The sequence below is a fragment of the Homo sapiens genome, chromosome 20, assembly GCF_000001405.40.
Source record: "Homo sapiens chromosome 20, GRCh38.p14 Primary Assembly".
NCBI classification, from domain to species: Eukaryota; Metazoa; Chordata; class Mammalia; order Primates; family Hominidae; genus Homo; species Homo sapiens.
In genome coordinates, this window is record NC_000020.11 from 19,790,162 (window position 1) to 19,811,119 (window position 20,958).

General features: G+C 43.2%; 1 protein-coding gene and 1 pseudogene across 11 annotated transcripts in view, besides 1 other annotated feature; both read left to right on the top strand.

Annotated features, from left to right (window-relative positions):
- RIN2 (Ras and Rab interactor 2) overlaps nucleotides 1-20,958 on the top strand; it is a 244,858-nt gene that overhangs the window by 32,563 nt on the left and 191,337 nt on the right. For all 11 annotated transcript variants that reach the window (XM_047440212.1, XM_047440213.1, XM_017027888.2 and 8 more), the window contains exon 2: nucleotides 9,461-9,586. The gene's annotated coding sequence lies outside the window, so the exon portion shown is untranslated. The remainder of the gene's footprint in view (nucleotides 1-9,460; nucleotides 9,587-20,958) is intronic.
- Nucleotides 12,284-12,578: an enhancer, noted in NCBI's record as "tiled region #11499; HepG2 Activating DNase matched - State 12:CtcfO, and K562 Activating non-DNase unmatched - State 13:Ctcf". NCBI's record gives its function as "activates a minimal TATA promoter and a strong SV40 promoter by Sharpr-MPRA in HepG2 and K562 cells {active_cell/tissue: HepG2 | K562}" and the evidence as "EXISTENCE:reporter gene assay evidence [ECO:0000049][PMID:27701403]".
- Nucleotides 18,927-19,860, top strand: LOC100421663 (cutaneous T cell lymphoma-associated antigen 1 pseudogene; annotated as a pseudogene).

Consider the following 20,958-nt stretch of genomic DNA (forward strand, 5'->3'; position numbering starts at 1 on the left):
GTCTCTAGTAATTCTTCAACTGCCTTTTGGATTTCTCAATCTGGATCTCCCTAGAAACCTCAATTTATTCAAAAATGAAATAATCATACACCCACCGACACCAGCAACTGCCCCAGTCTTACAAGGCTAGCAAGTCAGGTTGCCTGCTTCCCACTCAGATAACTTGATCTCTAGCCTTATTAATTAGGGGGCAGCTATTACTCCACTTGGCTTTCATTCTCTATTTGTGTATGTGGGTTTAGGGAAGGGGACTTTTTATCCTGATACAGAATATCCATTTATTCCTGTTAATTTTTCAACTAATGTTGGATTTTTCAAGTTGGGCTTAACTTATCTAAATCTAGGATAAGCTGGGCTCTGTGGCTTGCACTTGTAGTCCTATCTACTCTGGAGGCTGAGGTAGGAGGATGACATGAGTCCAGGAGGAGTTCAAGGCCAGCCTGGGCAACATAGGGTTACCCCAGCAGTAAAAAAATTAATAAAAATAGAATAATCATCCACTTACCCCAACCAATTCCCCCTCCCAACTTCCTTATCCTTTGGGTGGCCTTATCTGGCCCTTCTTCATGTCTGTCACCTTCTTTCTTAGTTCAAGCCCATATTCCTTAGTTCAGGTCTCTCTTACTTGCCCTAAATGGTCCTTCCAGCCTCCAGCACTTCACCCCAACTCTGAGATGGTCACTAGCTCCCATAGGTTTGCATTGTAAAATGGAAACCCTTCCCTTTGTCCAGACCATGACCTGGCCTGCCTTTCCATGTGAATCCTCAATATGCCCCAAGGGCTAAGCAGTGTTCTAATGGTTGTAGCTTGGCACAGCTGCTTTAAACCAAGTGGTTCTGTCTAAACTAAAATGCCTTTCCCCATACTCCCCAGCCAAAACTACACTCATCTTCTGCATCTCTTTCAGATGGCCCACAAAGAAAAACAGGACTTCATGTGTGTTCCTGTAATGTATAGCTTAGACCTTGAACAAAATCAGCCAGTGGCTTTGAAATTGAATAAACAAATGAATTACTTGTCCCATTTCTTTAATTGGAAAAATAGAATTAGAAATGATTGGAAAATTATCACAGATATATATGTATTTCTAAAACTACTGGTCATTTCTAAAGATAAGTTTTCCAAAAAAGTGAATGAATTTATTTGAGAAAATGACTAAAATACAATTCTGTGGATGTTATTTAATTTCCTCTTACATATTTAAGAAGACACCAAAGAATATAATTTGGGAGTTACAGTGCTAAGGCTTAGATAATTTAAGGTCAACAAAATTCTTAGCTTGATCTTTGAAAGAATACCTGATCCACCAAAGAGGAGATGTGCCCCCTGCCTCAGATATTATTATGTGGAAGTGAGGAAAGCTTCATAAAATTACAGTAACATGACTTCTCTAGGGAAAACAGAGATCATCAGTTGAGGAAAGTTAACTAAGAAGTTCATTTTAAAGTAATCTAAATTTTCTTCATTACACAAATGTCTTTGGAAAGGGAATGAAAAATATAACAAATATAAATCCTTATTTTTCATAGGAACTTTAATTTCTTTTTCCAAAGATAAATTATTCTTTGAAATAAGTATTCCTAGAACTGTTAACAGGAGGCATTTTGAGGAAATGCTCATATTCTCATGCAAACTCAGCACTGGGGTTGTCTTAGTGCAACTAGCAAGGCTTTCTTTGCCTGTATCGTGTCCACTTCAGGCAACAGGTAAGGAATAAAGTCATCTAAACTTACCTAAAATGTTCATGTTTTAGAATTACCCATAATTATTATCTTCATTCCTTTAATAATGTTGAAAAGGAAATGTGTATTTTTTCCTTCCCTCCCCCATCCAGCTTTTTCTCAGGTTGTTTCCATGGTTGGGGGAAGAGGAAGGACAAGTGGGACTCCTTCCAGGGACATGGCCAGAGCAGTTGACAAGGCCAAGTGGACAGTATGAGCTGAAAGAAAGAAATTCTTCTTTGTGGACAGAGGAACTGCCTGTGAAGGTCTTCAGAGGCAAATTCTACCACAGCGGAAATTCCACTTCCAGCTGGCGTGGTTTGCCTTGGCTTTTTAGGGTCTACCTGTCTGTAATGGTCACCCTCATCAATGCACTTAATTCCCATTTTTAACAGCAAAAATATACATTTCTAAAAGATGGCGAAAGGAAGATATTCAAGTATATAACATGCTTTACCTTAACCAAATATTGACTGAGGCCTCATAGTGTCATTTCTCGTGAACATTTAAACAAGAGCAGAATCCACCCGGGTCATCAGAGGGTATCATGTGCCTGAAACAAAATGTCAAAGCAGTGGTAATAGGATGTAATGAGTGATGTGTGTTGTGAGAAAGACACTTGAACTAAGATCTGGAAAGTGAGGGAAGCAAAGCTCACAGGAGCAAGGGGTGCCTGCCATTGAGGACTTAGCGCACACATGGGGAGGTGAGGCAAGAGCCACCAGAGGGGCTAAAGGGGGGACAGTGATGACAAACCAAAGATGATTTGGTGATTGACAAGCCAAAGAAGACTCAGGTTTGCCACTGACCAGCACATAGCGTTAAGCAGGTTACCTCACCTCTTCCAGCTACAAAATGAGCATATTCTATTACCCCTTCATTGGCTGTCGGGGTGATTTGAGGGAGGAGGGGGCTCAGCATAGTGCCTGGCATGGAATCACTTCTGAAAACCTGCTAGCAATTGCCTATTATGTTTTGAGGTGGATCTTAAAAGTTTGGCAGGATGGTAACAGGAGATGGCTGCGGAGGGCAAGGTATTTTAGGCTAAGCAGCCACTGTGTGTGTGTGTGTGTGTGTGTGTGTGTGTCTGGTGTGTTCAGAATATAGCATTGTGTTTGTGTGTATGTGTTCAGAATACAGCAAATACAGCAGCCCAGCCAAGGGGTATTGATGACCTGTAAGGCTTTGGGAATTATTCCATCAGGCAGCACTGTCCAATAGAAATATAACATGAGTTGCATATGTAATTTAAAATTTTTTGTAGTCACATTTTAGAAAGTCAAAAGCAATAGGTAAAATTAATTTTAATAAGATATCGTATTTAATTCAATATTTCAACATATGATCAATATGAAAATTTATTACTGAAGCATTTAAAATTTTTTTGTATTAAGTCTTCAAAACCTGGAGCATATTTTCTACTTACAAAGCATTCCTATTCAGACTTGCCACATTTCAGGTGCTCGATTGCCACACAGGGCCCGTGGCTGCTATATTGGATGGCTCAGCCACAGAGGGGCTTTCCTGTGATAATAGCATGGTTTTCCTTGAATGTTAGTCTTTCTCTCTCTCGTACCCCAGAGAGGGAGATGGCAATGCCTTTCTCTAGTACAATTAATTTAAAGAAAAAAAAGGAAAGGAAAAAGGGAGGGAGAAAAGAAGTACTCCAGGGCACTATCTTCACAGCTGGCCTAATCCTGAGGTTTTCACAAATGAAAACTCAAAGGGTTTTGGGAGATGCTGGAACATACTTTGACCCTTTTAGATTATACTAGCAGAGATGCTCTAGAAATCTTGCACAAAGAAACTTATTTTACTTTGAGTAACTCCAAATTTTCCAGGTTATTAGGATTACAGAACAATGTTTTTAACACTTTCTAAGGTTGACAATTCATCGTTTTGTAGGAAAAGCTGTGGGGAAAGACTGGAGAAGCCTAGATTTGGGTTCCCCATGGTAGCTACTGACGCATTGCTGGGGTTGCTAGATAGGGAAGTACAGGGAATTGGAATGAGAAAGCTCATAGCTGGGTGAGTAAATTCTTAGCCTGAGCCAACACCAGAGATGTGGTCCAGTCATGAAGATAACACAGGCAGGATTCAGTACCTAACAAAAATCAATCAAATTGGTCACTGAATCTTTTCATCTGTGAAGCTTAGATACACTAAGGCAGGATGAACTGAACCAATTTTACTTCCTTTAAGAGAAGATCAGGGAAAATAATATACCCAAGATCACAAGGATCCAAAGAATAATGCATCTATAGTCAACATGTACAGAATAGAAAAGAAAAGAAAGGCTTTAGTGAGAGATGAACTCCACCAGTAGCAGATTTCAAAATGGCACCCAGCAAGTGGCCTGCATGTGCAAATCTTCAAAAAAAGATTCAGTGGGCTGGGTGCAGTAGCTCACGTCTGTAATCCCAGCACTTTGGGAGGCCACGGCGGGCAGATCACCTGAGGTCAAGAGTTCGAGCCCAGCCTGGCCAACATGGCGAAACCCCATCTCTACTAAAAATACAAAAATTAGCCAGGTGAGGTGGCGGGAGGCGGAGGCAGGAGAATCACTTGAACCCAGGAGGTGGAGGTTGCCTTGAGCCAAAATTGCACCACTGCACTCCAGCCTAAGCAACAGGGTGAGACCCTGTATCCAAAAAAAAAAAAAAAAAAAAAAAAGATACAGTGATACTAGGTAATGATGAATAACGTTCATATGAACCTTCTAGATGATGCTATCAAAATATGTGGAAAAATAAGCAACTACTTCAGTTTCTAGAGTTGTGACTACTGGATTAAGAAAAATTAAATCTAGTTGTATTTCATTTTCTTCAACCTGTTATTACCTTGTAGGTTTTAATTTATAAATTTCTTTATAAGGACTTCAGGGTTTCTATGAGAACAGCGACTCAGGATTTCTCACAACGCCTCGCACCTACTAGATGCTTACTCCGCATTTGGTTAATTCATGAATAATTCTGATCAAGACAATCCCCTTCATAAATTTGGCTTTCCTCCATAGAAAAATTAAATTAAAATTTAAGACAATTTAGAATCCTTAAAGGTAGAAACACTTCAGTTGTCTTTAGAGAAACTCTAGTTTGTTGAGAAACCAATGTAAGTTTTAAAAGAATTTGCATTTCTCTTAGGAACACAACCCTGTTAAAGTTCAATAACCCATTTAAAACACAGGCACTTTGCTGAGGAAATGCTCTTGTGTACACATGCGGTGACACTGGCCCAGGAAGGTCAGGACAGCATCCCAAGTTGTTCCAGCTGCTTAACCCGGACTCGCAGGGAAGTCTCAGTCAGTCTGTTTCTGTTTTTAATATGTCATTATATTTCTTCTTACGGAAAAGCACCATTTGTAAGTGGCTATAGTGTTTTTGTTTCTGTAGTAATATCTTAGTTTCTGTAAGATGTCGTAGCATATGTCATACATATTCAGTGCAAATTCAGTTTTGTGTCTATTTTTTAGATTGTTTGGGTTTGGCTGTTTATTGTAGTTTTCAAGTAAAAACCCCTTTGGAAGTTGACCAGTAGCATTTTGCCTGGTGAGTTTTTTTTCCCCTCAGGTCCTCAGAAAATTTAGTTTTAAATACTTGTGGATGCTACTGAAGCAATATTAATGAAAATTGGATTTTTTATTGCCCTCTATTTTGCCCGTGAGATAAGGGTGTCAGAGATCTAAAACAATACAGTCTGATGTTAGAAGGGGTTCTAGGCTGGAAAACAGCCTAACTATTGAGATCCTGCACGTGACAGCAAATCCCCTTCTCTATAAGACCAAACAAACATTTTTTTCCGCCTCCTTAGAGTGCCATTGTGTCAAATCCAAATTGGAAATATGTCCTAGAATGCTAAAACTCAGTCAACAAATGTTAAAATGCACACACCTACCCCATGCATCATGGGCAAAGGAAAAAAAGACCAGCACCCCCAAACAACACACACTGAAGTAACATCACTAAGCTCCAGAAGCTCTATGTTTAAGGGTCCACAGTGTCATCATTTAAGGATTTTTCAAATAGACAAAATGGCACATGAAAATATGAAATAAAGGGCTGGGCGCAGTGGCTCAGCCTATAATCTTGCAGTGAGCCGAGGTTGCACCATTGCATTCCAGCCTGGGCGACAGAATGAAGCTGTCTAAAAAAAAAGAAAGAAGAGAAGAGAAAGAAAGAGAAGAGAAGGAAGAAAAGAGCAAAGAAAAAAAAGAAAAGAAAAGAAAAGTAGGTTAGGGCAAAGTGTAACACACACAGGCACGTACACATCCAGGAGGAATGTATATAGGAGTTTGACCTTTTCTGTTTTGTAAAATGAAGGATTTGGTCCATAGTAAAGATTTTCAAAATGGGCCTCTATATGGACTTATTCTCAGGAATTCACATATCCTCCTTTTGGAATGTCTGAAATCCAGTATGTTTTTATATCAAGGATAACATTTACTAATTAATCAAATTACATTCTGGACTAACTACAGCAATGTTTTTCAAGCTGTAGGTCATGATCCCCCAGTGAACTGTGGTTCATTAAGGGGTGAAGTTGGGTATATCCAGCGTTGTTTTAAATAAAAGTGAAGAAAATGGAAAATATTAGAGTGTACGGTTGGTAGTAACAGTTAAGTATTGTTCTACAAAATGTTTGTTTCTGTTTTGTATGCATATGCCTGGGTATGGATCATGATGTGAAATATATTTATTACCATGGATGGATGGTCAAACGTGTTTGAAAGCTATGAGTCAATAGATTCCTGTTCTCGACCTTCAGTGCACATTGGAATCACGCAGGGAGCTTCAAAAATAGGGTTCCCATCCCCAAATTGATTTGGGATGTACTCTGGGCTTGGAGCTTGCTTAAAGCTTCACAGGTGTGCAGCCAGGTTGGAGAATCCCAAAGAATTGAGCCTTGGGACCAAGTTCTGCCAAGTAATTTCAGTGTCTGCCTCTGAGTTTGAGTTTATTTAATTTGCCTTGGGGCCAAATCATCCCATAAACTGAGATTGTTGCAAGGTATGAAGATGGTCAGGGGAGACTTCACACAGAGTCAATGTTTTTTGTTTTTTGTTTTCCCCAAAGTGAAGGCCAAATGCAGTGTAATGGGGGAGGATGAATGAAAGCTGCCCAGTAGTTCAGATAGAGAAATGTAGTGGGAGAATTCAAAGAAAGAGTGAAAGAGATTGGAATAATTTGAATTGTGTGAGCAATTCCAGCTGCCATTCCACTCAGTAAGTGAGTGTCCCAGCATCAGCATAACGCAGGGCACTGGAGTCTGCTGTTCCCCCAGGTGGTCTCAGTTTATAGGTGCTTATCACTAGTGTGAGCCTCTGCACACAGCAAATTAGCTGTCAGGGTAATTTTTGACTTGTTCTCTCATGTAAGCCCTTCCTCTCTTAGAATATGCAGGCCCACCGTATTTATGATGCAAGAGTGACTTAGTTTCAGGAAAACATTATCCCTTGCATTAATTGAGTTACTTTTAATTATATTCATTTACATTCTTGTTCTTATATAATTTACAATTGTGCTTGGTTTTATAACTATGTAAAAGCAAGAACATAGGCCATTTACACCTAGTTATTTTATTTGCACATACTTATTTAATACCATAATATAAACCATGCAACAGGCTCCCTTTACTCTGTGTGATTTATGAAGCTCACCCTGAATACAGTGGGGCAGTACATTGAATCCAAGACCTACCTATTAGTAAAGATTAGAAGACATTGTGAAGTGATGTCAACGTAGCTTAATGTTTATTGGGATGATTTTGAGTAGTCCTATCTGTGTGTGAAGCAGGGGTTCAGAGGAAAATCTGGATTCAGGAGGAAAATCTGGATTAAGAAGGAAAGTGGGATTTAAATGATTCCTGAAAAATGATGATGATCACTAACATTGACGGTGGTGGCAGTTCACATTGTTTGAGCATTTACTAAATAATCTGCAATGGACCAATGCTTTCTATGGATTATTCTACTTAATCTTTTTTTTTTTTTTTTTTTTGAGATGGAGCCTTGCTCTGTTGCCCAGGTTGGCGGTGTCTCAGCTCACTGCAACCTCCGCCTGCCAGGTTCACACCATTCTCCTGCCTCAGCCTCCTGAGTAGCTGGGACTACAGGCACCTGCCACCACGCCCGGCTAATTTTTTGTATTTTCAGTAGAGATGGGGTTTCACTGTGTTAGCCAGGATGGCCTTGATCTCCTGACCTCGTGATCTGCCTGCCTTGGCCTCCCGAAGTGCTGGGATTACAGGTGTGAGCCACCACGCCCGGCCTATTCTACTTAATCTTTAGAGCAATGCTTTGAAATATAATAAATGCTATTACAATTACCCTATTTTTTTATATAAGAACCCAGGTTAAGTAATTTACCTGAGCAACTCATCTGGGACTGAAGCCCAAGTATGTTGCATCCCAGCCCAAGAGCTGAATCTTCTCAAGGAAGAGGAGAGGGACAGGGAGGATATTCTACACCAGAAAGCTAACATGGACCCAGGCATGAAGGAAGGGATGTGTGTGCATCTGTGTGCGAGATTTCCAGGGGAGGAGATGGAGGGAAAGTCAGAGTCCAGTTATAGAGCCTGACAGAGGAGCCAAGACTATGAAGTATTAGGAAAGCAGTGGGAAAAAAAGAATGAGATAACCTTCTTATACCGATGTTGGGAGTTTGATAGGACATCCTGAGGATAGAACAAGCAGGAGAGTGGAGCACATGAGAAACATATTTAGAAAAGAAACACATATACGTGTGTGTGTGCACGTGTGTGCATGTGTGTTTGTGTGTGTGCGTGTAATAGGATATTGGAATGCACAGAAGCAATCTGGAAAGATATAATTTAAATTATAAAAATGCCCACTTCTGCCAAGAATATAGGAGTTAATGGTGATGGTCAAAGGGAACTTGAGCTTTGATCTAATATTTGCGTTTTCAAGCAAGGTGACTGCATTCATGCATGTACTTAGGTAATTTTGAAAAGGCTAGGATACTGATTCAAACAGTTAAAAATGAAATATAGGATAATATAGTAATTTTTTTTTTTTTGAAATGGAGTCTCACTCTGTCACCCAGGCTGAAGTGCAGCAGCATAATCTCTGCTAACTGCAACTTCGGCCTCCTAGGCTCAAGCAATCCTCCCACCTCAGCCTCCCCAGTAGGTGGGACCATAGGCGTGTGTCGCTATGCCTGGCTAATTTTTTGTATTTTTGGTAGAGACGGGATTTCACCATGTTGCCCAGGCTGGTCTCAAACTCCTGAGCCCAAGCGATCCACCCACCTCTGCCTTCCAAAGTGCTGGGATTATAGAGGCCAGTCACTGTGCCTGGAGATATAGGAATTTCTTATTCTGATTAGTCCCATCTCCAGAATCCTAGACTAGAAGATTTCGGGATCCTTTTTGTAGGAAGCGATGTGATGCAAGGGATAAGGGAAGGAAATGAATTGTCACTTAACTGGTGGGGAAGACAGGATGCTTGTTAATTAGTTCCATTCATGAAAGACCATTTAGAGTTTTTAAAATCTGAGCATTGGCACAGGGATTTAGAGGGCATTCTGGTAAAGAAATCTCCCTCCTCGGTTTCCTGGTCCAGAGGTGGAGGACCAGGAATGGGAAGGAAAGGCCATCACTGTGTTCTCATTTCGCAATGTCTCCTCCCAGAGCCAGACTAGGAAGCAAGTCCTCTGTGTGGTTGTTCATTGTGTTTTTAATATACATACAAAACCCTGAATGGTCAATTTTTGTGTTGTAGATGGAGACGAGAGATCTGGACTTCTGAACATCTACCGGAAAAGATAAAATGTGCAAGCCCTTCAGAACGCTGGGGAGGTTGGGCTGAACTGCAGTGGGAGAGGAGAAGAGATGCTGGCGTGAAGGGGTACGTAGCAGCGAGACCATAAACCCAGTGTGCGCCACCCCAGCGTTTTCTTCATTTCCAAGCTCATCAGTGTGATTGGGAATATCATGTGCTATAGTTGTGATATGTGGTCGTGGAAGGGACTTTGCTCCGACAGAGCAACAGGGAGGATGTTTTCCAGCTGCCTGAGGGATTCTGTCCATGATACACTGGCAGCAGGGCCACATCAAGATCAGGACAAGTTAGGAGCCCACGAGCATAAAGGGAAACCATTCACATTTTCAGAGCACTCATCATGGGCCAAGCACAGCTTTAAGCACTTTAATGGGTTAGTTCATTCAATTATCACAACACCACCACGAGGTGGGCACTGCTGTTGCCCCGTCTGAGGGATGACACCACTGCCGAGTACAAAGAACCTGGCAATAACTGAAAGAGGACATGGCAGTAATGATTCTACTTCTCTTTCTTCAGTTCCCACCACCTTGCTTCCTGTTCTCCACTTTTTGTAGTTTTTTTTATAATAGAATTATAAATCTTCACATTGAAAGGAAATTGCATTGATGGGATTTCAGTATAGGCCACTATGGCAGATCATATTTTTCAACATGGGTCACAGTCATGGCTCCTCCAAAACCTTGCTACTCCTCCATCAAGTGGAGAGGTCTATTTTCCCTCTCCTTGAATCTGAGCAGGACACAGTGACTGCCTTGACATAAAGAATGTGGCAAAGTGATGTCGAGTGACATCAAAGTCTTGATTAGCAAAGGTGACGGGGCTTCCACGTAGCTCTCTAAATCCCTTAGGATACATGTCCTTGAGACCCAGCCACCATGTTTCTGGGAAGCCAGGCCCTGCAGAGAGGCCACATGTAGGTGCTCCAGTTGACAGCCCCACTGACATGGGACTTAGAAGGCTGGCTCCAGCCCCCAGCCTTTGAGCTGTCCCCACTGATGCTAAATCGAGCAGAGATAAGCTGTCCCTGCTAAACCATCCCTGCTGATCCCTGCTCCTATAGCAGATTCATGAGCAAAATAAACATTGTTGTTTTCAGCTATTTCATTTAAACCCACAGCAACACTGTTTGAAGTGTAAAATATCATTTTGCTTGTTTACAAGTAAGAAAACAGAAGTTGAATGAGATGAACTGACTTACCTAAGGCCACACAACTATTGAATGTGTTGCTGGAGTTTCAACCCAGAGCTGCCTGATTTCAAGCTTGTGAGGTTCACCACTGCTCTAACTACACATTCTTTCTGGGCTGGGAGCTGGGCCTTCGCTGCCCTGTAGACACAACTGCTCTCAGAGAAAGCAAACCCTTGCAGAGTAAGAGCAATAAGAGAGAAAAATGTTAGAGAACTATTTCTGCACAATATGTTGTTGCTCTATTTCTTAATTTGGACCCTGGTTGGGTGCCTCCCTTTCTGACTTAAGTGTAGAGTTCTCTCAGGAAGCTGTCTACCTTCCCTCCATGAATTTAGATCCTGTGGTATCTGCTCATATTACACAATATTCTTTTCCTTATCATGTAAAATAATCATCAAGTAATTCTTTATTTTATTTTATTTTATTATTATTATTTTTTGAAATGGAGTTCTTGTTTGTTTGTTTGAGACAGAGTCTTGCTCTGTCACCCAGGCTGGAGTGCAGTGGCGCAATGTCGGCTCACTGCAATCTCTGCCTTTCGGGTTCACGCCATTCTCCTGCCTCAGCCTCCCGAGTAGCTGGGACTACAGGCCCCCACCACCACGCCCGGCTAATTTTTTTGTATTTTTAGTAGAGATGGGGTTTCACTATGTTAGCCAGCATGGTCTCAATCTCCTGACCTCGTGATCCGCCCGCCTCGGCCTCCCAAAGTGCTGGGATTACAGGCGTGAGCCACCGCGCCCGGCATCATTATGCGATTCTGTGATCAATGTCTCTATCCCTAGTTTTATTTCGGGAAGGCCCGGGATTGGTCTGTCTTTCCTATTCTTCACCTCTTTTCTTCTAGCAAAGACCCTTACCTGAGCAGATACCTAATAAATGCATGTTAAATAAACACCAAAGAGCATTAGATGTGAATTTTCTTGATAATAATGATGACAGAGTAAGGAAGTGCATAGTTCCAGGTATAAATACTGAAGTCTTATCATGATGTTGTAGGTTTGTCTTTTGAGGCCAAAGATTTCTCACTTCCTCTGTCCTTCCTGTTAGATAAAACATCCCTGTGTTTGACTTTCATAAATAAATAACTTCAATAAAATGCAGTTGTAAAATAAACAATAATAGGAACTGCCACAGGACTCTGAGATACGATATTTCATTAGGTTATCCGAGCAAAAAATATTTTCAAGAGGGGAAAAGCCAATATATAACATTGGAGAACTGATGACCACATCATCCGTTGTCACATTTAATCATCACGACAGCCCTATACAGGTGGGATTGTTATTATTCTCATTTTACAGATGGGAAAACTGAGTCTCATGAGGTTAGGTCACTTGCCCTACATCACCCAGTTAGGCAGTATCAAGGCGGAATTTGGAGCAGGCCGGGTGACTTCACTGGGCCCTGTCCCGAGCACCCCGTGCTTAGGTGACCTACATGCTTGGCAGAAAGAGCTGCCCCTACCAGGTATGGCCAGGCCAGGTGTGGTGGCTCATGTCTGTAATCTCAGCCCTTTGGGAGGCCAAGGCAGGAGGATTGCTTGAGGACAGGAGTTCAAGATCAGCTTGGGCACTATCTCTACAAAAAGTTTCTTTAAAAAAAAAAAAAAAAAGTATACCTAGAGTTCCTGGGGCTTGGCCTCCCTCCCTTCCCCTTGCCACAGTGTGACTAAAGGTCTGGAGTGAGGCTGTGTTATAGAAAGGCAGGCTGGAGGGATGACATCACTGAAGAATTCCTTGGCAAGCAGTCAGTCAGCCACCTTTGGGTAGTCCCTACTTTCACCTGGGTCGCTAGGGTTGGTTAATTTTTAATACCAACTGAGTGACCCATCCCCTTCTCCACCTTGACTGAGTCCTGAAGGCCCCCTCAAAAGCTAGGTTTTAGTGCCCTATTTCATGGTACACCAAGGAGTGCTCTGGCACCATCTAGAGCAAGCCCTAGTCATCTGCATACCTGAGCGAAGTCTTCCAGCCCCTGCTGGACCCTGTTGGAAACAATGTATCCTCTCTTGGACACAGTCCATGCCTTAGACCTATACTCCAAGGAGCACAACCTGACCAGCCTCTCCCACTAGACCCCTCTTTTATCTTCTCTTGTTCTCGGGCTTCTCCTGCCCTCAGTGCAATAGAACTTCATTAACTAAATACAATTAACCGAGAATGCTTTATTGTTCCTGTTGTTCTACCTGCTCACTGATTAGTGAAAAAGGCCAGCACTGCCATCTGTGGGCTGAGAATTGTAAAGTGACTTAATGAAGATGAAATGTATTCCTTTCTCTTCATTCTCTTTTACCTGTCTATTTTCCTCGATTCTACCCTGTTCTTTCAACCCTAGCAGATGCAGCTTAGAAGCCTGATAATAATAAGGATAAGCAAGTCTTGCTGGAAAATAACTAGCATTTATTGAAAGCTTGTTGTGTGCAAAAAGAACAAAGCTGGAGGCATCCACTACCTGAGTTAAAACTATACTACAAGGCTACAGTAACCAAAACAGCATGATACTGGTACAAAAACAGACACATAGACCAAAAGAACAGAATAGAGATCTCAGAAATAAGACCACACATCTACAAACATCTGATTTTTGACAAACCTGACAAAAACAAGCAATGGGGAAAGGATTCCTTATTTAATAAACGGTACTAGGAAAACTGGCTAGGCATATGCAGAAAATTGAAACTGGACCCCTTCCTTATACCTTACACAAAAATCAACTCAAGATGGATTAAAGACTTAAATGTAAAACTCAAAACTAAAAATCAGATCTTTGTTCTTTTTGCTCCAGATTGTCTTACCTGTACAGACTCTTTTTTGGTTCCATGTGAATTTTAAAGTAGTTATTTTTTAATTCTGTGAAGAATGTCAATGGTAGTTTAATGGGAATAGCATTGAATCTATAAATTGCTTTGGGCAGTATGGCCATTTTCACAATATTGATTCTTCCTATCCTTGAGCATGGGATGTTTTTCCATTTGTTTGAGTCATCTCTGATTTCCTTGAGCAGTGGTTTGTAGTTCTCCTTGAAGAGGCCCTTCACTTCTCTTGTTAGCTGTATTCCTAGGTATTTTATTCTCTTTATAGCAATTGTGAATGGGAGTTCATTCATGATTTGGCTCTCTGCTTGTCTATTGTTGGTGTATAGCAATGCTTGCGATTTTCCCACATTGATTTTGCATCCTGAGACTTTGCTGAAGTTGCTTATCAGCTTAAGAGGCTTTTGGGCTGAGACAATGTGGTTTTCTAGATATAGGATCATGTCATCTGCAAACAAAGGCAATTTGACTTCCTCTCTTCCTATTTGAATTCCCTTTTTATCTTTCTCTTGCCTGACTGCCCTGGCCAGAACTTCCAATACTATGTTGAATAGGAGTGGTGAAAGAGGGCATCCTTATCTTGTGCTAGTTTTCAAGGGGAATGCATCCAGCTTTTGTCCATTCAGTGTGATATTAACTGTAGGTTTGTCATAAATGGCTCTTATTATTTTGAAGTATGTTCCATCAATACCTAGTTTATTGAGAGTTTTTAACATAAAGGGATGTGGAGTTCTATTGGATGCCTTTTCTACATCTATTGAGATAATCATGTGGTTTTTATCTTTAGTTCTGTTTATATGATGAATTACCTTTATTGATTTGCATATATCAAACCAGCCTTGCATCCCAGGGTTGAAGCTGACTTGATCGTGGTGAATAAGCTTTTTGATGTGCTGCTGGATTTGGTTTGCCAGTATTTTATTGAGGATTTTTGTATCAATATTCATCAGGGATATTGGCCTGAAGTTTTATTTTTTTGTTGTATCTCTGCCAGGTTTTGGTATCAGGATTATGCTGGCCTCATAAAATGGGTTAGGGAGAAGTCCCTCCTTTTCAATTGTTTGGAATAGTTTCAGAAGAAATGGTACCAGCTCCACTTTGTACCTCTGGTAGAACTCAGCGGTAAATCCATGTGGGTTTTTTTTGTTTTGTTTTGCTGTTGTTGTTGTTGTTTGTTTTGTTTTGTTTTTGGTTGGTAGGCTATTTATGACTCCCTCAAAATTTCAGAACTTGTTATTGGTCTATTCAGGGATTCAACTTCTTCCTGGTTCAGTCTTGGGAGGGTCTTTGTGTCCAGTAATTTATCCATTTCTGCTAGATTTTCTAGTTTATTTAGGTAGGCACTATTCTTATCCTTATTTTACAGATGAGAAAACTGAAGCACTGAGAAGTCAAGTTACCTGTGTGTCATGGCGTCTGGCACATTCAAGTGTTCAGTGAGTGTTAGTTACTATTTATTACAATGAGACTTAGCTTTGGTCAAAAATTGGGATGCGGGTATTTATATGGGCAGGGATGCCCTGAAGCACAATGAGGGAGTAGGGAGTGGCATACGGAGGGCAAAGAGGCCATACAGTCTGTGACATGAGCAGGTTACCACTGTGGGCACCAGGGCTCAATCCCACCATCACTGCGACAGACTGTGTAGGATTCATCTTCGAATAGTCCAACTATGGGACTCAGAAGTTAGGATATTCCTGAAAGAAGTTATAGGGACCTTATTTTTTTTCTGAGATGAAGTCTCACTCTGTCACCCAGGCTGGAGTGCAGTGGTGCGATCTCGGCTCACTGCAACCTCCACCTCCTGGGTTCAAGCAGTTCTCCTACCTCAGCCTCCCAGGTAGCTGGGATTACAGGCACGCACCACCACACCCAGCTAATTTTTGTATTTTTAGTAGAGACAGGGTTTCGCCACGTTGGCCAGGCTGGTCTCAAACTCTTGATCTCAGATGATCTGCCCGCCTTAGCCTCCCAAAGTGCTGGGATTACAGGCATGAGCCACTGCGCCTGGCCCAAGTTACAAGGACTTTTTTTTTTTTAATTATTATACTTTAAGTTCTGGGGTACATGTGCAGAACATGAAGGTTTGTTACATAGGTATACATGTGCCATGGTGGTTTGCTGCACCCATCAACCCGTCATCTACATTAGGAATTTCTCCTAATGCTATCCCTCCCCCAGCCCCCAACCTCCAACAGGCCACAGTGTGTGATGCTCCCCTATCCTGTGTCTATGTGTTCTCATTGTTCAGCTCCCACTTATGAGTGAGAACATGCAGTGTTTGGTTTTCTGTCCTTGTGATAGTTTGCTGAGAATGATGGTTTCCATCTTCATCCATGTCCCTGCAAAGGACATGAACTCATCCTTCTTTATGGCTGCATAGTATTCTATGGTGTATATGTGCACCACATTTTCTTTATCCAGTCTATCATTGATAGGCATTTGGGTTGGTTCCAAGTCTTTGCTATTGTGAACAGTGCTGCAATAAATGTGAGTGTGCATGTGTCTTTATGGTAGAATGATTTCTAATCCTTTGGGTATATACCCAGTAATGGGATTGCTGGGTCAAATGGTATTTCTAGTTCTAGTTCCTTGAGGAATCGCCCCAGTGTTTTCCACAATGGTTGAACTAGTTTACACTCCCACCAACAGTGTAAAAGCGTTCCTATTTCTCCACATCCTCTCCAGCATCTGTTGTTTCCTGACTTTTTAATGATCGCCATTCTAACTGGCGTGAGATGGACTTTTTAAAAAGCAACGATGAACATCATGATTATATCCTGTACGTTGCCACCCATTTTTCCAGGGAAGGAAAGAGGAGAAACCTACTATAAACTATTCCCCCTGGCTTCCTGTACTTCCCCTTTGCTCTGGCATCAGCTTTTACGTGTGCAACAAAACATCTCCAAACTCAGTAGGAAAACTGAGCTGGGTGTGATGGCTCACACCTGTAAACCTAGCACTTTGGGAGGCTGAGGTGGGATGATTGCCTGAGCACAGAAGTTTGAGATCAGCCTGGGTAACATGGTGAAACCTCATTTCTACAAAAGATAACAAAAATTAGCCAGGCATGGTGGTGTGCATCTGTAGTCCTAGCTAATAGGCAAGCTAAGGTGGGAGGATTGCTTGAGTCCAGGAGCTCGAGGCTACAGTGAGCCAGCCTGGGCAACAGAGTAAGATCCTGTCTCAAAAAGAAAAAGACAAGAAATTGATAATAAATATCTGTTTAGCTCATGCAAACAGAGGTTAGCTGGGATCTGGCAGATCTAGGTTGGGCTCAGCTAGGTGACGCTGCTTCCTGCACAGGTTCAGCTAGGCTTGGCTTCCCACTGATGTCTGGGTTCAGGCCAGCAACACTTAGCACACGCTAAGTCCAGGTTGGTGGGCATGGCTACCTGAGGAAAGCTCTCCTGTGACAATGGCAAAAGTGCATGAGTATAAGTGGAAGCCCAAGAAACCTTGTAAAGCTTGTGCTTGGAATCGGCACACTGACATTTTTGTATTATTCTATTAGCCAAAGCAAGTCACATGGCCAAACCTAAGTCAAGAGGCAGAGAAATGTGTTCTGCCTTTGCTGGAGGAGTTTCCACTGTTGACCTTGGCTTAAGACCAATAAGGCAATCTACCATGCTTCCTCTATCTTATGCCAAATTGGGCAAACATGATGTGAAATTTAAGTCTTTGCCAGTGCTAGTTTTAGTTATCACTTTTGGCAAAATCCCAAAACCTTAATGATATTCTAAGTTGTTATTAATGGGAGATGAGATGATACTAAAAGCTGCACACCCTAAGGCTCCAGGAATCTCTTTATCTCAGACCTGAGCTGGGAATTGTTACTTTATCTTGTATGATGGCTTTGTTCACCTTAGAATTATGAAGTGTTTGGAGATGGTGAGCTTGTTCCTCCACAGTGACAACCTGTTAGCACTTCAGCAGCTGCCTCAAATGATCAGACTTGGATTCAGCACACACCAGTTGCCCAAACTTGTCAGAATGAAATAAAAGCAGCAAGTAGAATGAATAAATTGTCAGTCATATTGATGTGTGTGTTTTCCTAAATTTTAGGAGAAGGTTTTGGATTCTGCAAAAATGCCTTTTCTGTGCTTCTCTCAATACCTTGGCTCTCTCATCTGGCATGGATGCAGTTTAGCTGGAAGGAGAAGAGGCAAAGCTTTTATGTTGGTTGGAATTTGCAGCCTTAAATTTACAGGACTTTTTCCAACTTAGCATGGAAAAGACTTGCAGTTTTATGCTTTTTGTGAGTTATAAGTCATAAAGCATATGCTAGGGGTGGCATCACTGTTGTGTTCTTGGCCATCTAAAGAAGGTCTGCGGAAGAAACCTAAGCCTTAAATGATTAAATGTCTTTCCAAACACTCATAAGTTATTTATACTGTGTCCTTGCATTGGCTAAGCAAGCAAGCAAATGAACCCAGACGTTGATGCTAGTGTCTTACAGTGCATTCTAATTAAACTATGAATGAAATCATATGCCTTATGCGTGCCGTTAAGATGCCTGCATGCTTAGTGGCTTGCTTCTGTTTGTATAAATTCACAGGCCACACCTGGCAGTCACAGGCCGCCCCTCTCCTCCCTGAGCCTGGTCCCCAGCAGGGCCAGAGAGGCCGCCATGGCCCAGTAGGAGTCAGGGGAAGGGGAGTCGGGTGAAGGAAAGCTGAGAATAGGATCTTGTGTAGACACAGGCTGTGGCATGGCCCTGCTTTGACCATCTAGCTGGGCTGTAGGGCCTGTTGGGGCCTGGAGTGGCCTCAGCTCGGGTCTGCCATGAGCTCTTTCCACTCCCCGAAGGCCCTGTATAAGTAATGTCATTTTCTATTTGCACAGCAAAATCAGGGACACAGTTTTCTAAAGCACGAGGTGCCTCCCCTCCCCCAGTCCAATGGATGGTCTACCCTGGTTGGTGGGCCCCTGTTTGTGTCAGAGACAGAACACTCCGCAGGGTTCCGGTTAGCTGTCCACAGGTCACTGGCAAGTGGAAACAGAGCAGCAGAGCCCTCTGGAGCCACGGAAGGCCTGCTGCTCGCCACGCAATATCTACTCAGCTGCTGCTGGCCCCCTGGGGGTGGCATTGCTAGTGATGTATAGAATCCTGGGACTAGTGCCAGCGACCCTAGGGATACCCTGGGTGATCTGGACATGCACTGTTATGGTGGCCTTTATGGTCAGGAGACGACATGCAGTGAAAAGAAGGGCAGAGCCGGCCTAAAGGGATGCGGTCCAGGGCGTGGTCCAAGGAAAGGCCAGAGCCAGGATGCAGTCAGCACCCCAGGCTGGTGGGGGGCCTCATGTCACCCATGCCACAGGCCAGTCCTGGATTGCTCCAAACCCTCTGCCTAGGGTTCTGAATGAAATAAGCAGGTCTTTCCCATCAGGACCTAGGTGAGCTTCTGAAAAAAGCATCAAAAAGGAAGCCTCCTGAACTTCCCCAAGTGACTGATGCAAACCACGTCCATATACTTCACAGCTGGGGCAGAAGATCAGGGGAAAATTGCGGATGATCTGAATGATAGCAGTGACCACCAGCAACCTACAGAGCTGCCCAACCAGGAAATTGTCAGATGGAAGCAACGCTTGCAGGCAAAGAAGGCTGAAGCAGGCCAAGGCAGGAATGAAACAGTCATAAATGTTGGAGTGAAGCGACTGACCTCCCCGGTCCACACCCCGGCCCAGCGTCCTGCATCTGCTGGAGGATGGTGGAGACCATGTGGAGGATGGGGACTTGGCAGTGGAGGAGAACATGGAAGCAGGATATGGCAGTCCCCTAGCGTCCCAGCCACAAGTCCTCTGAAGAGTGTGGATGACGATGGTGACTTAGGTGCATCCTTCGAATGTCCTGAGGGGGAGACTGGAGAAGCAGACACGCAATTGTGGGAAGAAATCAAAGGCATAAAGAACTCACAGCACAAGTCCAAAGTCTGATCAGCGAGCAGGCCTCTCTGCAGGGTGCAAGGGCACAGCTGGAGAGGGAGCTCCCGAAGCTACAGCCGACGCTTCCTGTTCTGCCTGATCTCCACCGAGAACACATGATGGGGCCTCATGGGAGTCCACAGAGGAGGACGCCTACTGCCTGGACCTTGAGCAGAGACTTCACAAGGTGCACACATACATGAACCACATGTCACAACCCACAACCACTACAAGAAGATGGCCCAAGACCTGGCCCAGAAATTGAAGAAAGACACTTCCAGTTTTCAGAGGGAGATCCTCTGCCACAAGAGAACAGCCCAGGAAAGCTAGATGGCCGCTGCGACCACTGAGATAGAACTCCAGGTGCTGCAGAAAGAAAATGACTACAGCAGGCAGAAGCCGGCTGACTGCAAGGCCAAGTTGCAGCCTTTCCTGAGTGGCCCTTTGGCTCCTAGGGCTCCACCATCCACAGCCCACAGGAGCCCAGAAGTGCCAAGAGGGGCCAGGCGTGGTGGCTCACACCTGTAATGCCAGCACTTTGGGAGGCCAAGGCAGGTGGATTTCTTGAGGTCAGGAGTTCGAGACCAGCCTGGCCAACATGGCAAAACCCCGTCTCTATTAATAATACAAAAAAAAAAAAAAAAAGCCAGGTGTGGTGGTGCATGCCTGTAGTCCCAGCTACTTGGGAGGCTGAGGCATGAGAATCACTTGAACCTGGGAGGCAGAGGTTGCAGTGAGCTGAGATTGTGCCACTGCACTCCACCCTGGGTGACAGAGTGAGACTCTGTCTCAAAGAAATGAAAAAAGAAGTGCCAAGAGTACCATGGGCTGCCAGGGCCCCCAGGAGGGAGGTGGGTCACAATGTGAGCGCTTGGGTCCAGAGCACCTACCGATTTGATTCTGTTTTCCCTTTAGCCAAGTTCTGAATGCCCAGAGCCTCGGCAGAACATCAGCCGGTGCTGCTCCCTTTAAAGCACTTTTGATTGCTCTCTCGTTAGTTTAGCTACAGCTTATTGATGCTGAAATTGCTCTTATTGAAGTTTGATCATGTTAAGATTATAAGGTACTTTTTTTTTTTTTTTTTTTTTTTTTTGAGACGGAGTCTTGTTCTGTCTCGCCCAGGCTAGAGTGCAGTGGCGTGATCTCGGCTCACTGCAAGCTCTGCCTCCCGGGTTCACGCCATTCTCCCGCCTCAGCCTCCCAAGTAGCTGGGACTACAGGCACCCACCACCATGCCCGGCTAAATTTTGTGTGTGTGTGTGTTTTTTTTTTTTTTAGTAGAGACAGGGTTTCACCGTGTTAGCCAGGATTGTCTCGATCTCCTGACCTCGTGATCCGCCCGCCTCGGCCTCCCAAAGTGCTGGGATTACAGGCGTGAACCACCGTGCCCGGCCAAGGTACTGTTTTTCAAATAACGATTGTTTAATATAAAAAAAAAATGCACAAGGATAAAGCGGAAAGTACCAGATGTATAAACCAATTAGTAACTGTCGCTTCTTGGTG